General features: G+C 35.4%; 1 protein-coding gene and 1 pseudogene across 50 annotated transcripts in view, besides 2 other annotated features; both read left to right on the top strand.

Moving 5' to 3' along the window:
• The window catches only part of RBM26 (RNA binding motif protein 26), a 94,429-nt gene that overhangs the window by 11,322 nt on the left and 64,759 nt on the right, over window positions 1–18,348 (top strand). For all 50 annotated transcript variants that reach the window (XM_047430536.1, XM_047430535.1, XM_047430521.1 and 47 more), the window contains exons 2-3: window positions 16,027–16,145; window positions 17,419–17,555. In XM_047430536.1, coding sequence (XP_047286492.1) covers window positions 16,027–16,145; window positions 17,419–17,555 — 256 coding nt within the window. The remainder of the gene's footprint in view (window positions 1–16,026; window positions 16,146–17,418; window positions 17,556–18,348) is intronic.
• Window positions 1,618–1,667: an enhancer, noted in NCBI's record as "active region_7857". NCBI's record gives its function as "activates an Ori minimal core promoter by ATAC-STARR-seq in GM12878 lymphoblastoid cells {active_cell/tissue: GM12878}" and the evidence as "EXISTENCE:reporter gene assay evidence [ECO:0000049][PMID:35858748]".
• Window positions 1,678–1,737: an enhancer, noted in NCBI's record as "active region_7856". NCBI's record gives its function as "activates an Ori minimal core promoter by ATAC-STARR-seq in GM12878 lymphoblastoid cells {active_cell/tissue: GM12878}" and the evidence as "EXISTENCE:reporter gene assay evidence [ECO:0000049][PMID:35858748]".
• RNA5SP33 (RNA, 5S ribosomal pseudogene 33) lies at window positions 5,303–5,400 on the top strand (annotated as a pseudogene).

Below are 18,348 nucleotides of genomic sequence, written 5' to 3'. Positions count from 1 at the left end.
GGCTGGGTGCCGTGGCTCACACCTGTAATCCCAGCACTCTGGGAGGCCAAGGTGGACGGATCACCTGACATCAGAGGTTCAAGACCATCCTGGCCAATGTGGTGAAACCCCGTCCAAACTAAAAGTACAAAAATTAGCCGGGTGTTGTTATGGGTGCCTGTAATCCCAGCTACTCAGGAGGTTGAGGCAGGAGAATCGCTTGAACCCAGGAGGCGGAGGTTGCAGTGAGCCAAGCTGGTGCCACTGCACTCCAGCCTGGGCAACAGAGCGAGACTCTGTCAAAAATAAAAATAAAATAAAATTTAGCTAATTGCTACAAGGGGGCTGGACTTCCTTTTGTTCAAATATGACCTTGAAGGTCTTGATGCATGTTGAGAAAGGCACGGAATAGAGAAATGGATGCTACAGAAGGAAGTTGGGAGGAAGCAAGAGAAATACTCATGGAAAGCCTTTATATGCTTCCAAAAACGGCACTTTGATTCCAGAGGGCAACGTTTATTTGCCCTCTTGACAGAAAGTAGTAACCTCTAGAGGACTTAGGGCTTGAGGTAAGGACTCGCAAATGGCAGAAGAATTTCTCTTCCTACCAAAGGGGTGCTAACTCAAAAAGCAAGTAGGTGGAATCATTGAAGGGCCAGAGTGAGCCTTTATGGAGGTTGACAAACTGCTTCAAAAGCCACCAGAAAACTCAGCCATGGGGCTGGAATGGAAAGCATATGGTAAGTCGTAAGGAGCTAGCAGAGCGGCAGTTCCAGTTAGTGTTTGTCCCCACAATGTGCCAGCAGAGGGGAAGGTTGGAGGTCATTTGAGCTGGTAGGGTAAGAACAAGTACAAATCTCAGGGGATATCTGCGGGGGATCCCGGCTTTGCTACTGTGTAAACACAGTAAAAGCCGCAGGCGCACAAATAATAGGAAGTGTGTGTTTAAGAAGTCACGTGGCATGTAGAGTGAAAACAGAGAAGCAGACTTGCCCCCAAGGTGAACAGTCCAGCACGTGCACAAAGCCATTTCAGAACACACACACACAAAAAGAATAGGCAGTGCAGCTTCTTGGAGAAAAGCTGATTTTAGTTGAAAAAACAGGAAACCCCAAGCACTGCACGGTTTTAGGCTTTAACCCTATCATTCTCGTGAGCCTCCTGCCCAGGAGGGCCATTAGTGCCTCAGGTCCACTCGGTGCAGACCCCAAGGTCCTTCCCACCCCCACAAGGTGATCTCAGTGGTCATACGGGGGGAGGAGAGCCACTTGTGACCAAGAGGAATTGTTCTGAGGGTTGATTAGTAAGCCAGACAGCGAATGGGAGAAGAAAACTGTATGGGGGTTGAATGTCTCCAGCCGAAGATGGTACTGTGTACAGGTCTCTTACAAGTAGGGAATGTACTCAAGTCATGCGGAACTGATGTATGTTACCTGCTGCAAATCCATATGGATCTGCAGCAACCTCACTTCTTGTCTCAGAAGAAAGAATTCGACCGAGGAGACATAAGGCAGAAGGAGAAACTGAGGCAAGTTTTAGCGCAGGAGTGAATGTTTATTAAAATGCTTTACAGCAAGAATGAAAGGAAGTAAAGTACACTTGGAAGAGGGCCAAGTGGGCAGCTTGAGAGATCAGATGCCCCTGGTTCCAGGTTTTTGAATTGCTGGGGAGATCTTTGTTCTTAACTCCTACCTCCTGCCTTTATGACTTTTGGAACTGTTTTTCAGCATTGTTGCTCCTTTCCTTGTCTTTTGAATGGTAACCCACCCAAGAATGCCTCAGAGGGGTTTCACTCAGCCCTTGTGCTCTACACTCAGACTTTGTTAGCTGGAAGCTAGTAGTTCCTTGGTAATCTCTTGTAGTTCTTCCTTGCTCCCAGAATTACTCATGAGTCTTTGGTTAGTAAGTGTTGATGAGTGGCTGTAGACTCACTTTGTGGCTTGTGGTACTTCTGATTCTAATCTCTCGACAGCATGTGTATATGACTGCTAAAAGATGATTTAAAGTTTCGCTGGTTTCTCTGTACCTCCATCTATGGAGTCAGATTTTTCTTCCTGACTTTCCACCAGGAATGAGAGTAAACATGAGTTTCTTTGCTCTTCTGAAGAGTTTGTCACTTTCTAGAATATAGTTAGTTCATTTACAGATTTTTTTTTTTTTTGGTCTTCTCAAGCTTGTTGGGTTTTAAAAAATACTACAGTTTTGTAGTTAAAGCGGCTTGTTTCTTGTTGGGGTGAGAGCAGTGGTCTCTTGTGATGTTCCACATCCAGCCCGAGGTGGAATGGCTAACATAGTTTTAATGTGTGTTTGTTTTATAAAAGTTAGGTTGAAAAATTTTTCCTATGTTTATTTATATATATAAATATATATAAATTATATATGGATAACATATTTTACATATTAATTATGTTTATATATAATATATAACATATAATTATATAACTAATATATTAGAATATATGTGATTTATGATGTAACCATTACATATATAGTACATAATACTTACATAATTATTGTATATAATATATAATGCTCCAGAGATTAATTTAATAATTTAAGAAAGTAAGCTTTTTTCCTAAAAAGTAATGGTTACATCATAAATAATATATAATGTAATTATATATAATTACTAATTATATATTACCGTTATACAATTAATTATATATTTTATATATAATTAATATATAATTATATAATAATTATGTATTATTGTATAATATATAATTATATAATAATTATGTATTATTGTATAATATATAATTATATAATAATTATGTATTATTGTATAATATATAATTATATAATAATTATGTATTATTGTATAATATATAATTATATAATTATGTATTGTATAATACATTATTATATAATTATGTATTATTGTATAATACATAATTATATAATAATGTATTGTATAATATATAATTATATAATAATGTATAATATATAATTATATAATAATGTATTGCATAATATATAATTATATAATAATTATGTATTCTTGTATAATATATAATTATATATAGTGTTACGTATTATATATTTTTTCCTGTTGATTGTTCATACACTCCCTAGTTTTTCTGATACATTGTTGGTTTCTTAAAAAGTTGATTTGTAGGAGCTTTTCATGTATTAGGGAAATTGTGATATGATCTGCAACTTTCTCTTTCCCATACTGACATTTATGTTTTGATTCTGCTTATGGTAATTTTTCTAATATAGAAATGCTTCGGCTGGGTGCGGTGGCTCACGCCTGTAATCCCAGCACTTTGGGAGGCTGAGGTGGGTGGATCATTTGAGTTCAAGAGTTCGAGACCAGCCTGGCCAACATGGTGAAACCATGTCTCTACTAAAAATATAAAAATCAGCCTGGTGTTGTGGTGGGCGCCTGTAATCCCAGCTACAGGGGAAGCTGAAGCAGGAGAATTGCTTGAACCCAGGAGGTGGTGGTTGCAGTGACGCTAGATGGCGCCACCGCACTCCAGCCTGAGCTACAGAACAAGACTGTCTCAAAAAAACACACACACAAAAAGAAATGCTTCATTTTATGTAGTTGAATTTATCCTTTATTTCATGGGGTTTGGATTTTCTATTGTAGTCATAGTCAGAAAAACTTTCCCTATTTTGAGATGAAGTTACTGCCAGTGATATTATAGCGAAAGCTATCACTAGTTGTGCTTACTGTATGCCAGCATACTAATTGGGTTACCAGTCAATTAATGAACTCTAATTGACTATATGCGTGCTACAAATCATACTGTGACTTACCACGAGAAGTCAGTGAGGCAAAATGGAAACCAGTCACTGTATTTTCTCAAGTAGTATCATCCATGTCCTTTATGATCTTATTTTTAAAGAAAATCCAGGTATGAAGTATGGATATAGCCTTATTTATGTATTTTTATTCAGATGCACACAAAGTTATCTCTATAAAACTTGACTGCATAATCCATGTTTTCCCAGGGATTTGAGATGCAACCTTAAATAGATACTAAGTTCTTATGTGTATTTGGGTTTATTCTAGACTTTTTATATATTGATCTATATCTTTTACACTATTCTCTTATTTTTGGTGATGAAAGGCTAGTCCTCTGTCAATAATGTTCATTTTTAGAATTTTCCTGCCTGGTTTTCCTTGACTGCCCTTGCCCTACAACTTTATTTTGAAAATTTTGAATATACAGAAAAGTTGAAAGAATTTTACAGTGACATACCCGTCATTGAGATTCTACCATTAACATTTTAGTGTGCTTGTCACTATTATCCTTTGGTTCATTTCAGAGTAAATCGCAGATGTCAGTGCACTTACCCCTAAAGCATGCATACCATGCTTTACTTCAGTACTTTAGTTTTATTTTAATTTTAGAATACAGATACAATCAAGTGCACAGATCTTAAGTGTACCATTTTATAGTTTTTACAAGTGTATACATTTTTGTAACCCAGTCACCTGTTAAGATAACATTACCCTTGCCCTGGAAAATTTACTCATTTCTTTTCCCATGCCCCCACCTACCTCTAGAAGAAAGCAGTGTTCTGCCTTTTTTACACTATATATTAGTATTACCTGTTGTAGAACTTTTCTGTCAGTGGAATCAGAGTATTATTTTGAGCAAGGCTTTAATGTGCCTGAGATTTATCCATATTATTGCATATATCTGTAGTTTGCTTCTTTGTATTGCTGAGTAGTATTCTGTTGTCAGAATCATGGTATATACAGTAGTTAACAATAATAATGCTCTCATTATTGTTAATTTGACACAATTTCTTAAGTCTTACTAATTAAAAATAGTACATGATGGTTCTAATAAAAATTTAAACAGTGTAGAAATAGAAACCAAAAATCAGTCTTCTTATTCCTTTCTGATTCTCATATATAAACTTGTAAACATATATCTGTAAAAATATGCATGTGCCACCTATTGATGAATATACATGACTTTTTTTCATAGATAGAATCATTTATATGTTGCTACTACAACTAGTATTTCCAGTAACACTGCACATCATCCCATAAAAGTATACTGTTAGGTAGATTCCTATTCTTTCCAGTGGTTCCATAGAATTCCATTATGTGAGTGTATTGCACTTTGTTTAAATAGTGCTTTATTTATGATGTAATTATTACTTTTTAGGGGAAAAAAGCTTATTTTCTTGAATTATTTAAGTACTTCCTGTATGTAGTCAAGGAAAACTTACCAAAAGACTTTGACTTGAAAAGCAAAATCCTCTTTACGTTTCCCATCCTTGAACTTTTACTGTTAATATGTAGTTTTTATGCCGTTACAATGGCTGAAATCCAGTGTTTTTGCATGACCAAATCATCTACGGCCATACCACTCTGAACACCCCTGATCTCATCTAACTTGGAAGGCAAGCAGGATTAGGCTTGGTTAGTACATGGATGAGAGACTATAGTTTATGTAACCATTCTGTTCTTATTTGTCATTTAGGTTGTTTGCTTTTTTCTTTGGCTTTCCAAATAACTATTTTTTTTCCCGTTTCTTTTTTTCTTTAACAACGCAACTAGTACACTGTTTTTGACTTTTTAAATAACTCTGCAATGAACATCTTCCTCTATGTGTATGTTTGCTTTATTCTCATTAGTAGAAGTTATTTTCTAGAAGTCAGCTAATGCTGCTGTTGGAGGCTTTCTTAGTATTAAGTATACTTTCTTGGTTTAAATCTAGTACTTCAGAGGAACTTGTTTTATGATGTTATGTATTGCATTATAAGTAGTTCCTCATTTTGTTTTTTGTTTCAAAGAGCCATTTTAAAAGAAGTTACGGGAGATAGTGTGTCAGTGTAAATTCTAGCCTACTTTTGAGTTCTGTATATCTCTGCTCCATACATTCTGCAATTATTTATTTTCCATTTTACAGGCAATTTAAAAGTTGATAAAAAAATTTATAAAATCTTAAATGAAGTCACTTATAAATGAAAAGTGTTTGAATGATTATAGATTCCACATAGCATTAATATATACTTCAGCCGGTCGTTTATTTGTTGCTCCTTGTAATAGTTATAAATGCAATAACAGGTACTTTGAGGCCTGTAACTTGTGATCTTTTTTGGACATATTTTGTAAGAAATTGTCATTGTGACGTTTCTTATTTGTTACTATTACTTTCTTTAATGATCTCAAGTGCTTATCTTACCTTTTTAAAAAGTTTAATTTTTTATAGTAGCAAGCAGACTGAAATAGGTAGAACTTATTTTTGAAAACTGCTTTATAAACTTGCAGTTACCAGTCTCTAAAGTTGTTAATGCACTTACCTAAATTGAATCATGTTAAGTTTGGATGCCTGTGATGACATTAAACAGCCAAATTGGAGGAACAGTTAAGTTCTGTGAGAATACATGAAGTTTGGAGGAATCGTGAGTATACATTGTGATTAGGAAAAGGCTCTTGAATCCACCTAGCCTCTGTGGGTTTCAGATGTAGAGAAAGTTTTATTGCTATACTGAAGTGATTGGACAATTTTGGAGCTATATTATGAGATGTGGGGAAGGTTAAAACAGGAGTTACTTGATCCAGTCTCTTTTTAAGAATGTTGCTTGCTGGGCGAGGTGGCTCACGCCTATAGTCCCAGCACTTTGGGAGGCCCAAGTGGGTGGATCACCTGAGGTCAGAAGTTCGAGACCAGCCTGGCCACCATGGTGAAACCCCATCTCTACTTAAAATACAAAAATTAGCCAGACGTGGTGGTACATGCCTGTAATCCCAGCTACTGGGGAGGCTGAGGCAGGAGAATTGCTTGAACCCGGGAGGCGGAGGTTGCAGTCAGCTGAGATCGCCACTGCATTCCAGTTTATGGCATGTAGAGGTTTGATTAGATAAAACGTTTTGAAGACAAAGGAAGACTAGTTAGCTATTTCTTAGTCTAGTTTAAGAGTGAGTTGTGAAATGCCTGAATTTAGATTGCTATAATGTTGGTAATTAGAAGCTCCTTCTCAATACATTGTGATTTGTTCTAGGGAAAAGGCAGGCATAGTTATCTGTAATACCAATGGGAGAAACAGTCAAACATACCAGTAGTTGCTATGTAACAGTGGTAGAAACAATGTACAGAAATTATATAGGTCTGGCAATTTAGGAGAAATACACAAAATGTTTCTATTAAGTAGAATTTATTTATGCCTTCTAAGGGCTCAAAATTTGGTCATGAGTGCTGAGGAAATGGGATTCTGTGACTCTTTAGAAAGACATAAAGAAAAAAAATTCTCTTGAAGATTCTAATGCTATGTACTAAATTATTTTGAAATTCAGTTAACTAAAAGTTACTGGAATGGGAAGGGAGAAAGAGCGCAAGGTGGTGAAAGCCAAATATTTTTTCACAAAAATGACCCACTTTTTCAGATCGTATGGTTCAGTGCCTTTTTTTTTTTTTTAAATGAGTAAACTAAAGCCTAGAGAAATAAAATGCTAACGCAGGATTATATAACTAGTGAATAAAGCAGAAATAACACCAGACTGGAAATCTGAAAATTGTTTTTTGGAGTACAGTTCAGTGCTTTTCTTCAATACCAGACTGCTTCATGGAAAGGCTAACAATTTGGCTTGGGACAAAGTAGGTTTGAAAGGTAATATAGGACTTAAAATATAGCAACCAGAATTTAACTAAAGTATATTTTTAGGGGTGATTATAGGCATTTTTTTTTATCATAGTTCATTATTTAGTAATCCCTTAACGATTGTTAGGGTGCTTGGCAGGTTAATAAAGTGTGTCTTATTTGTAATTATATTTATTTGTAATTATTTCTAGTTTGGCAAGTCAGCTGTTAGATGAAAAAACTGAAGCTTAGTTTGCTTAGTCTTAAGATTCATGACCGGAAAAGTGTCCATAATAATTTCTCATTTTTAAAGATAAATTTTGGCATGACTGTGGTAACCGTATCAGAAAATTTTGGTAGCAATGTTAGAGAAAGACTTAGAAGTGAATCTCTAACATATATAACCACACAGCATTAGCCAGACCTTTTAAAGAAATATGAGAAAAAGGTTAAAGGCTTAATCGACTCAGCCAAATTTATCCAACAGGATGATAGAACTAGGTTTTTTGTATTTCTAGTTTTAGTGCTATTTCTTTTGGATAATTTTGCCTTTTTGGTTTTAAAAGAAAATGTTCACTAGCCTCTGCTCTCTCATTTTAGTAACCAGAGGGATGGGTTACCTGAGATCTGTTGTTAACTAGACAGAATGTGAGTAATGGAGTGGGGGTGGCCTCTAGAACCAGTCTTTTCTCAGATAACTCAATTCTTCCTCAACTATGAATAGGAATTAAAAAAAAAAAAACCCTAAATATGAAGGTTAGTCATGGGTTACCATATTGCAGATACACCTTTTTTTTTTTTTTTTTTTTAAAGAGAGAGTTCTGTGGCTTGATGTATAACCATAATTATAACCACAACTATCTGGGCTTAATTTGTCATTTGGGCTGCTGCTGTTTGCACTGAACAGTACAAACTTTTACTTTGGTTTTGTTATCTGACTATTGGGTCTTTGACACTTAATGGGCACTTCTTTTTTTTTTTTTATTTAATTTAGAAGTTATGTAACTTCTAAAGCTATGGTTCTCAAGTGTGATATCAGGATTCCTGGAATTTCCTGAGAGCCTTTCATGGTGTCTATGAGGTCCTTGTTTTTCCAACTATGTATCTGTGTCAGGTCAGGTTTTCTTCATGTACTTCAACCAGTATAACATGTCATAACAGACTGAATGTAAAAACAGATGTAAGAATCGGCCTGTCTTCTATTAAGCCAAACAAAGGTATTTGCAAAAAGTGTAAAACTTGGTCACTCTTCTCAGAAAATTTGTATTTTATTTTGGAAAAATAGTTTTTGTGTTTTTTTTTTTAATTTTAAAAATATGGTATTTAATTTCAGGTGAGGCTATTTATCATAGAGCTCTGCCTATCCCTGACCTGCAGTGGGGATATGACCTAAATGGGGAAGATGAGTCATTTTCAGAGGCCAGTACGGATGCTGGGGGAGAGAAGAGTAGCCTCCTTTTTCTGGTTTCACTAGCTGTTAGAATAATGTAAGCTGGGAACTGCTTGGGGGCCATCATTTTTGCCACACATAGAGAGCATTTCTGAAAGTGAAAAATGCAGAATAGAGAGTCCTGGTGATATGATTTGAACTCCTGGATTCAGAAAAAAAGCCAGCCCCACATATGGGCTTCCTGTTTGTTTGCACATAAATTCTTCTTCTGATTACTCAAACAAATATAGAGAGTTTTTATGCTAGTTTTAATGGATTTATTATATCAAACTAAACTAAATTTTTTCTCAATTTTAATTCTTGATAAATATTGATATAACTCTTTTAAATAAAAAGCTGTTTGGAGTGGTTCCTATTTTTAAAGCATAGAGGGCTCCTGATACCAAAAAGTTTGAGAACCACTGTTCTAAAAGTAAGATGGAATCATGCTATTTCTTGGAATGATGTGGGGGAATAAAAGAACTGGCCAATAGTTTTCAGTGTTATAATTACATGTATTGTGATACATTTTGCAGTGATGAAGAAGTATTAATAGATTGTGTGATGCTCAAGGATGGATCATATTTAGATATGCTTATATTTTGATTTTATTTTGTAGAATGAACTGGGTGTATAATAACTCTTAATGAGTAGTCTTTGCTGTAACTAATTACTGTATATAAGTAATCTATTTTTGCTTTCTTGTTTGAATTAAGTGAAGCATGTAATAAACTACAATTAAAATTTTCAATGTATGTATTATGCTTGCTGCAATGAAATTTGGATTTTTAAAAGAGTAATTCTAAGTACAGAATATAAAATCATGACTTTGATGCAAATTAGATATTTTTCCTGAATATAAAATGAAAATTTGGAAAGAACAGACGTGGGTGCATATCCGTGTTCTAAAGTTACTCAGTTAACATATTTAAATTTAATTTTTAATTCCCACTACCACCTCCAGCTTCTTTTCAAGATTACTGAACATGGAAGCTTGGGTTAAATTCCGTGAGTTATATTCTACTGAATTTCTAAAGTCTCCAAGAAACTCGTGCAAAACAAACTTTTTGAAATATTGTATTGGAGTATTATAGCTTTCTTTACGGTCTCATTACTGTTTTGAAAATCTGAAAAACTAAAACACACTATGGGTGTGTTGGGGGATTAGTACAACCTTTATTTCCAGAGGTGATTTGTTTCTTGTTAAGAATATTTAGTTTTTAAAGATATTTTATTATAACATTTGATTTTCTGTATTAATTTGGCTTCTGTAACTTTAGTGTGTGTACTTCCCTCTCCACCCCAGATATAGTTGGAAGAGAATGACCTTCTTAGATGGTCACTTCTATGCTTTTAAAGGGTATGCATGAAGCTGGAAGTCTCCAACTGAACTGTTTTTAAAAACAAAGATGCCAGCTGGGCACTATTGCTCTCACCTGTAAATCCCAACACTTTGGGAGGCCGAGGAAGAAGGATCACTTGAGGCCAGGAGTTCGAAACCAGCCTGGTCAACAGAGCAAGACCCTATTTGTACACCCAAACAAAAATTAGCCAGGTGTAGTTGTGTGCACCTGTAGTCCTAGCTACTGGGGAGGCAGCGGTGGGAGGATCTCTTGGCAGGAGTTCAAGGTTTCAATGAACCATGATTGCACCACCGCCCTCCAGCCTGGGTAACAGCAAGACTTTGTCTCTAAAAAAATGAAATGAAAAGAAAAAAAAAAAAAAAACTTTATTAGCTGTATCCTTAACACAGTATATTCAGGAATTGACAAAGTTTTATTTTTATGCCTTTAAAATCATTGATGTGAATGACTTCATAGTGATTTGGAAATTTAATTTGCCAAAGCTCACTGAAGCAGTTAATTTGAAATCCTTGGAGAATTAAAATTGGAAACCCCAGTGTTCGTGAATGCTCACTTTGCTCCATTTCACTGGACTCCTGTCCCTCATATGTGTCAAGAAGGTCAAGTAGGCCTTAGGCTCTTTCTGATGGGTTCCCTTGGCCTGGGCTTTTTAAAATTTTTTCTTTTCCGGATAGCCATAAAGCATATTTGCATTCCATTTCCATTCCTATCTAAATTCAGATCCCTGTTTAAATGTCCCTTCAACAGAGTCCTTCCTTGATGATCTTAAATAATACTTGTTTTATCTTTTCTGTTTTCTTTCTCCTTACCTTTCTTCCTTTCTCCTCCTTTACACTTTATCTTTTCAACCTGGATTTTTCCTCAGAGCACGTGTCTACATGACAATACATACTATAAACGTATGTTTGTGTAATATGCATATTGGTTCCCCCCACCCCCCAATGTAAATTCCGTGGCAACAGTGATGTTTCTAAAAGTTGTATTTTCAGGATCTAGAACAGTGACAGAGTAGGTGCTTTTAAAATTTTCTTGAATAATGAATGCGATATTTGGACGATAATCACTAAACCCAACATACTTATTTTCTTATTTTATTCATCAAACTTTATATGAAGATGAAAGATTCCCTGACAGAAATGAGCCATTGATCTAGTGAGACATATATTTGTATGTATATTCTCTCTCTTAGTAACTATTAATATGTTTCAGATCTTTTGTAGTGTGTATTTTATCTACAGTGTAATTTTTAAAAAATGCTTTTCTATTACTAATATATGTAGATCAGTAATTGAACAGACTAATGTGTTATTTTATATTTCATATATTTGCACAGTATCTTATGAACAGATTTAAACCTAATGATTTTACTCATTGATACTTGTGTGGGATTTACTATCCAGTCCAGTGCTTATTTGCCAAGAGCTGTTCAGCCTATGCTTGAAACCATTCTAATGAAGGAGAACCCTCAGGCAGTTTATTCTGCCTTTGGGAGGCCTCTGATTATTTTAAAAAAAAAAAGCCTATCTCTATTTTAAGCCAAAACCTGTTTGGCTGCTTCTGCTTACTGGCTTTAGTTACATTCCTTGGAGGATATATTGGACAAATGTAATCCTTTTTCCTTGTGATAACTTTTCAATTATTTGAAGACTTACCAAGTTCTCTCTGACATTTCAGTTCTCTAGGCTGAGAATCCCTAGAAAACCATCTAATAATGATATCCATTTACCATCTTGGTCATTTTCTAAGAATCTGTTTGAGTTTGTTTATGCATTTATAAAGGTGGAACCTAGAACTGAAAGCACTAACACTCTACTGCATAGGAGAGCAGCACTCTTTCCTGTCTAGTTCTCAGTTTTCTGTTTTATTGCATGTTTATAATTTATGTTTCCCCCCCAGCCATTTCACACTTTCATTTCCTTTAACTTAACCGTTTACTAAAGTGCTTAAGTTTTCACCTTCTATTTGCCTTCTACAAATGCTATTGTTGAGTTAGATCTCATGCCTTATTTTGTAGTTTTTGCTTTTGTTTGTATTCTGCTCCCTCACCAGCCCCAACACACACACAGAAGAGTAATTGCAGTTGGAGCACTTGGTGATCATAATCATACTTTATTGGCAGATTTTGTTGTTTGTGGGAGCTAAGAAATACTTTTCAAAACTTGATTCTTTTTTTCCCCGATCTATAAGGCAATTTCAGGTCTGCTTTTTCTTTCACACATTTTCAGGATGCTAGCAGTATATAGCAGGGGTAAAGAAAAGTCTAGCTCTGACAAGATATAGATCATTCAAATTACAAACCTTTTATCAGCAGTGGCAACTGGTAAAGTACCTCGAACAATCTTGCTAGCCATGGAGATAATTTTTAAAAATAATTTGCTATATGAATATAGTTTTTTTAATTAGTTAATTTGAATGTTTATTTAATTGACTTTGCATAACATCATCACTAGAAGTTCAGATAATATAACATTTAAGACAAATAGAAAAGAGAACATAGGTTTTGCCTTTCTGTTCCTGATACATAACATTTCAGTATATTATTAAATTTCTGTGGTCCATATTTTTTACTCAGCTTTTTGTTTTCAAAAATATTGAAGTAAAAATGGAACTTCTTGTAGGACTTAAGAAAAATTGTTTCCCAAATGCAAATTCAGTTGTTTTGCCATTAAATGTGAAATTATAACCCCTGCTTCTATATAATTTGAACTTTTAACAAATGTTAAAAAGTCATCTGCCTTTCAAATTATTTCAAGGATTTAGAACTGTATATGGTAGTATATTTGTTGTGGCTAATCGTTTTTTATTCAGTTCAGATTGCTTCTACAGAAGATGTTGAGCAGAGATTCTTCTTTAATTCTGTCTTGCTGTTTTATCCAACTGTGGTTTATAGACCATAATAATTATAAAAATCATGAAAGCCTTCCTCTAGATTTTTAGCTGCTAACATTTTAATTCAGTTTTAAAATGTCCTATTTAAAAAATAATGGTGCAAAAATGAAATAGATTTGGTATTTCGTTGAGAGAATTGAAAAATGACAGGTAAGTTACTGGAAAAACCACTAATAAGTTAAAAATTCACCACAACAATCAAACCAATATTAAATTACAGCATTTAGACTCAGTGTAGACTGAATTTATATACAGCAGTTGCAATAAAACATAATAATATTATTATGTATCATAATGATTTCCAGTAAATTGAAATATGTTTAGCTTGATGTCTAGTTTGGTTGATGTCTGGTTGATTTGGTTGATAGGGAGTGACTGTAACTCTAGGTGTTTAAAAAGTAAATTGGAAGTCAGGTTTCTGGCACCTCGTTGTAAGAGGCAGTCTAGTGTGGTGGTTAAGAATGTGGACTTTGGAGTATGAGATTTAGTTTTAAATCTTGATTCATTTCCTTGCTGTGTAGTCTTGGGAAGTCTACTTAGCTTTTCTCTGAACCTCAGTTTCTTTATCAGTAAAGTGAGAGCCCAATATAGTATGTAAAATTAGAAGTGCAGTTCATGGCACAAACTAGGTGTTGAGTAAGTGTTAGTAATTGTTGAGTAAGTGTTAGTAATTAACTACTGCTATTATTTTATTGTTAGTTACTCTAACTTGTAAAATCTTAATAATTTTAGCTTAGTTATAAACAATTATATCATTCTTTTGAATTGGATGAAAATAGTTCAGACATCAAAAATTTCCCGTCCTGACATTGTTAATTGAAATAAACCAGGCACAGAAAGATTAATGCTGTATGTTACCACTCATATATGGGAGCTAAATAAGTTGGTCTCATATAAGTAGAAAGTAGAATAGTGGTTACCAAATGCTGGGAAGGGTGGTAGGGAGATAGGGAGAGGTTGGTTAACAGATACAAAATTACGCTGGATTGGATGAGTAAGTTCTAGTGTTGTTTAACACTGTAGGGTAACTACAGTTAATTTATTATATATTTTCAGATAGCTAGAAGAGAAGATTTTGAATGTTCCCAACACAAAGAAATAAATGTTTTAGGTGATAGATAGGCTAATTACCCTGGTTGTTCATTACACATTGCATACAGGTATCAAAATATCACATTGTACTCTATGAATACATACAATTATTATGTGGTTTTTTTTTTTTAAAAACTTTCCCTTCTTACCCTGTCCCTCCTTTACTTAGTTCATACTATCATCCTGTCCAGATAGCCGTAGTTTATTTATCCTTCCACATATATATAAACCAGATTTCTCTCTTCTCCCCCAACACAAATGGCAAATACTATACAAACCTTTTCTTTGTCTTGCATTTTAAATTTAATGAATTGATATGAAGATTTCTTTAGGGGTTGAAAACTTCATTACCTGTCTTTTTATCTTTTTGCTACATGTCATTCTTTTGTGTGGATTTTAATACAGTTTATTTTTCCAGTTCTCTCTAAATGGACATGTGCACATTTTTGATTTTACAATCAATATGACAATGAATAACTTGTACACATGTCATTTTGAACACGTGAGTATATGTGTAGAATAAATTCGTAGATGTAAATTGCATTTGTGACCTTGATACTACCAGAGTATTCTATCAGCTACCAGTTTACTCACACCAGCTCATGTTTAGAATTGCGTTTTCATTAGTCTTGCCACCAGAATACATTTTCATATTTATTGGATTTTGCCAACCTGATAACTGAAAAATATTTCAGTGTAACTTAAATTTGTATTTCTCTTATGGGTGAGGTTGAATTTTTACTCATTTAAGAGTCATTTTTATTTATTTTATGTTTTAGCATCTATTCATATCCTTTGTCTTTTTTTCTCTTATAATGTTAGTCTCGGTAAAAACACTGTGGGTTAGGGGAATTAGCCTTTTTGTGATGAGATAAACTGAGCTTGTTTTTCATTGGTTGACTCTTCATTCTGAGTTTTTTTTTTTGTTCTGTTTTTTATAATCACATTACTTTTTTGATAATATGGATTTTGTGTCTTCCTTACTCCAGGGTTAAATAAATTGTGTTTTCCTCTGACATGTTTCCAAGTTTATTTTGTAAAAGGCAACTGCCAAGTTGTCTCAATACATTTTCTTTTTTTTTTGAGATAGGGTTCTTACTTTGTCACCCAGACTGGAATGCAGTGACGTGATCCCAAATCACTGCAGCTTTGAACTTCTGGGCTCAGATGATTCTTCTCCCTCAGCCTCCCGAGTAGCTGGGACTACAGGCACACACTACCATGCCTAATTTTTTTTTTTTTTTTTTTTTTTTTTGGTAGAGACTGGGTTTCGCCATTTTGCCCAGACTGGTCTTGAACTCCTGGGCTCAAGCGATCTGCCCGCCTAGGTCTCCCAAGGTGCTGTCATTACAGGACTGATTCACTGTGCCTGGCCTCAATACTGTTTATTGCATAATTTATCTCTTCTTAGTTGGTTTGGATGCCACTTTTATAAAATCTGAATTCCTAGTACATTTGGATCCATTTCTAGACTTTCTTTTTTTGCTGTTTAAACTAATATACTGATGGGTATGTTTTTAAGAAATAAAATGGCTACACATAGCATTAAGGAGTGTTAGTATAAAGAGAACTTAAATTTCTTCAAGGTCCTCTGTGACCCGGGTGCTTTTTACATGTATTAACTCACTTAACTATTATTCTCACTAATTCAGTTTGTAACTGGAATTTGTAGAATGTGCAGTTGGCTAAATTTTCTTCAACATTGGTTTTTTTCTTTAGCTGTGATGCAGATCCATCCGCCCTAGCAAAATATGTTCTGGCTTTGGTAAAGAAAGACAAAAGTGAAAAAGAGTTAAAGGCATTATGTATTGATCAGCTGGATGTATTTCTTCAGAAAGGTAAGATCTTTGGTTTAAAAATACTACTATATTTTAAAAAGTTATTTAAGGCTTGGCATGGTGGCTCACGCCTGTAATCCTAGCACTTTGGGAGGCTGAGGTGGGTGGATCACCTGAGGTCAGGAGTTCAAGACCAGCCGGGCAAACATGGTGAAACCCTGTCTCTACATAAAATATAAAAATTAGCCGGGCATGATGGTGGGTGCCTGTAATCCCGGCTACTCGGGAGGCTGAGGCAGGAGAATTGCTTGAACCTGGGAGGCAGAGGTTGCTGTGAGCTGAGATCGCGCTACTGCACTCCAGCCTGGGCGACAAAGTGAGACTCATCTCAAAAAAAATAAATAAAGTTATTTAAAATAAGTTTATCCACAGAATATTAAAGGAACTCGGTAAGAAGCCCTAATTTTAACAAAGTTAAATAAACAATATTATTATTGAGTATATCCATAGCTTATTTAAAATGGATGCCACCTCTCAGTAATGTCCATGTGCTTATTCTTAAAGCATGTTGATATTTTTTCTTACATAGATTAAAAGATTAAGAAAATGACTGCCTATTTATTTAAAGCCAGTACTGCTTAGGAAACTGCTTTGAATCTTACCTAGCGCATTGCTTTTCAGCTTTTTGTACCTTGCCACATCTAGATTATGATAGTGTTTGTGTTTGCAACACTGAGTAGGCGATGTGGAGAAGACTTAGTCATGGCTGGAGGTGACTAGCCCAGAGGGCTGCGACCATTCCAGTCCCTACCGTCTTGAAAATAGCATGAATCAGTATTGCCTCAGGACTTGTGCCATGGCACACTGGTTGGGAAGCTGTTGATATTAGGATATTTTCTTTCTTTTTACTTTTTTTTTTTTGAGACGGAGTCTTGCTCTGTCACCCAGGCGGGAGTGCAATGGCGTGATCTTGAGTGCAGTGGCGCGATCTCGGCTCACTGCAGTCTCTGCCTCCTGGGTTCAAGTGATTCTCCTGCCTCAGCCTCCCTAGTATCTGGAATTACAGGCACCTGCCATCATGCCTGGCTAATTTTTGTGGAGACAGGGCTGGCGAGGCTGGTTTTGAACTCCTGACCTCAGGTGATCCACCTGCCTTGGCCTCCCAAAGTGCTGGGATTACAGACGTAAGCCACCACGCCTGGCCAGTGCTAGTATATTTTCTAGTTTATAAAAGTCAAGGTATGTTTCATCATATTAGAGATAAGAGATGTGGAAGCGGGGAATTAATCTTAACAAATGTGTTTTAATCTATGGTGTTTGGTTTTATTTTTAGAGACACAGATATTTGTGGAAAAACTTTTTGATGCTGTGAATACAAAGAGTTACCTACCTCCTCCAGAGCAGCCATCATCAGGAAGCCTGAAGGTAGAATTTTTTCCACACCAAGAAAAAGATATAAAGAAGGAAGAGGTAACGATTTGTGTTAATACCTTACAGGTTATTTAAACACATAAGAGGAATAACCAAACTGAGTTTTTATCTTCTATATCTTTGTGTTGGAGTCCTCAGGACCACTCCCAGTTTAAATGATTTTTCTAGGAGGACTCATAGGACTCTGCATATAATTGTGCTTATGGCCCTGGCTTATTTCAGCAAAAGGATATAAAGCAAAGTCAGCAAATGGAAAAGGTGTATGAGGCCAAGTCCAGTGGAAAACAAGCACAAGCTTACAAAGTCCTCAGAGTTGCACAGGATGTGCTTAATTCCCCTAGCAGTGAACTGTAACAACACATGGGAATTAGGCAAGCTCCTTAGAAACTCTGCCCTGCGTTCTTATTTGGAACTGGTCACATAGGCACCGCCTACCTAGTATGTACCAAAATTCCAGACTCCTGGGAGGAAGGCAGATGTTCAGTGTAGACCATATTGTTTCATAACTAATTCAGGCATAGTGAACCATTCCTTATCAGGGGGTAATGGGAACCCTCGAGAAATCAAAGTGCCCAGGAGCCAGCCTTACAAGCATGCTGGCTTTCTAAGGTTAGTATTGTCAGGCCTGCTTTTACTCTGCACAATATCTTACAGACATAGAGTCTTAATATCTGTTCTATGAAAATAATTAGGTTGACAATTGGTCTGTTTGCTTTTGTCATACATGTATTTAGTAGGGGACTGTTTTTAAGGTAGTAAAACACAAGGACCTTCACAAGACAGTGGATATGACTTCATACTTCAAGAGGTCCCAAAATTTTTGTGTGTATTT

The sequence above is a fragment of the Homo sapiens genome, chromosome 13 (genome assembly GCF_000001405.40).
Source record: "Homo sapiens chromosome 13, GRCh38.p14 Primary Assembly".
Taxonomy (NCBI): domain Eukaryota; kingdom Metazoa; phylum Chordata; class Mammalia; order Primates; family Hominidae; genus Homo; species Homo sapiens.
Note: the sequence above shows the minus strand (reverse complement) of the source record. Positions and strands in the feature narration are given on the sequence as shown.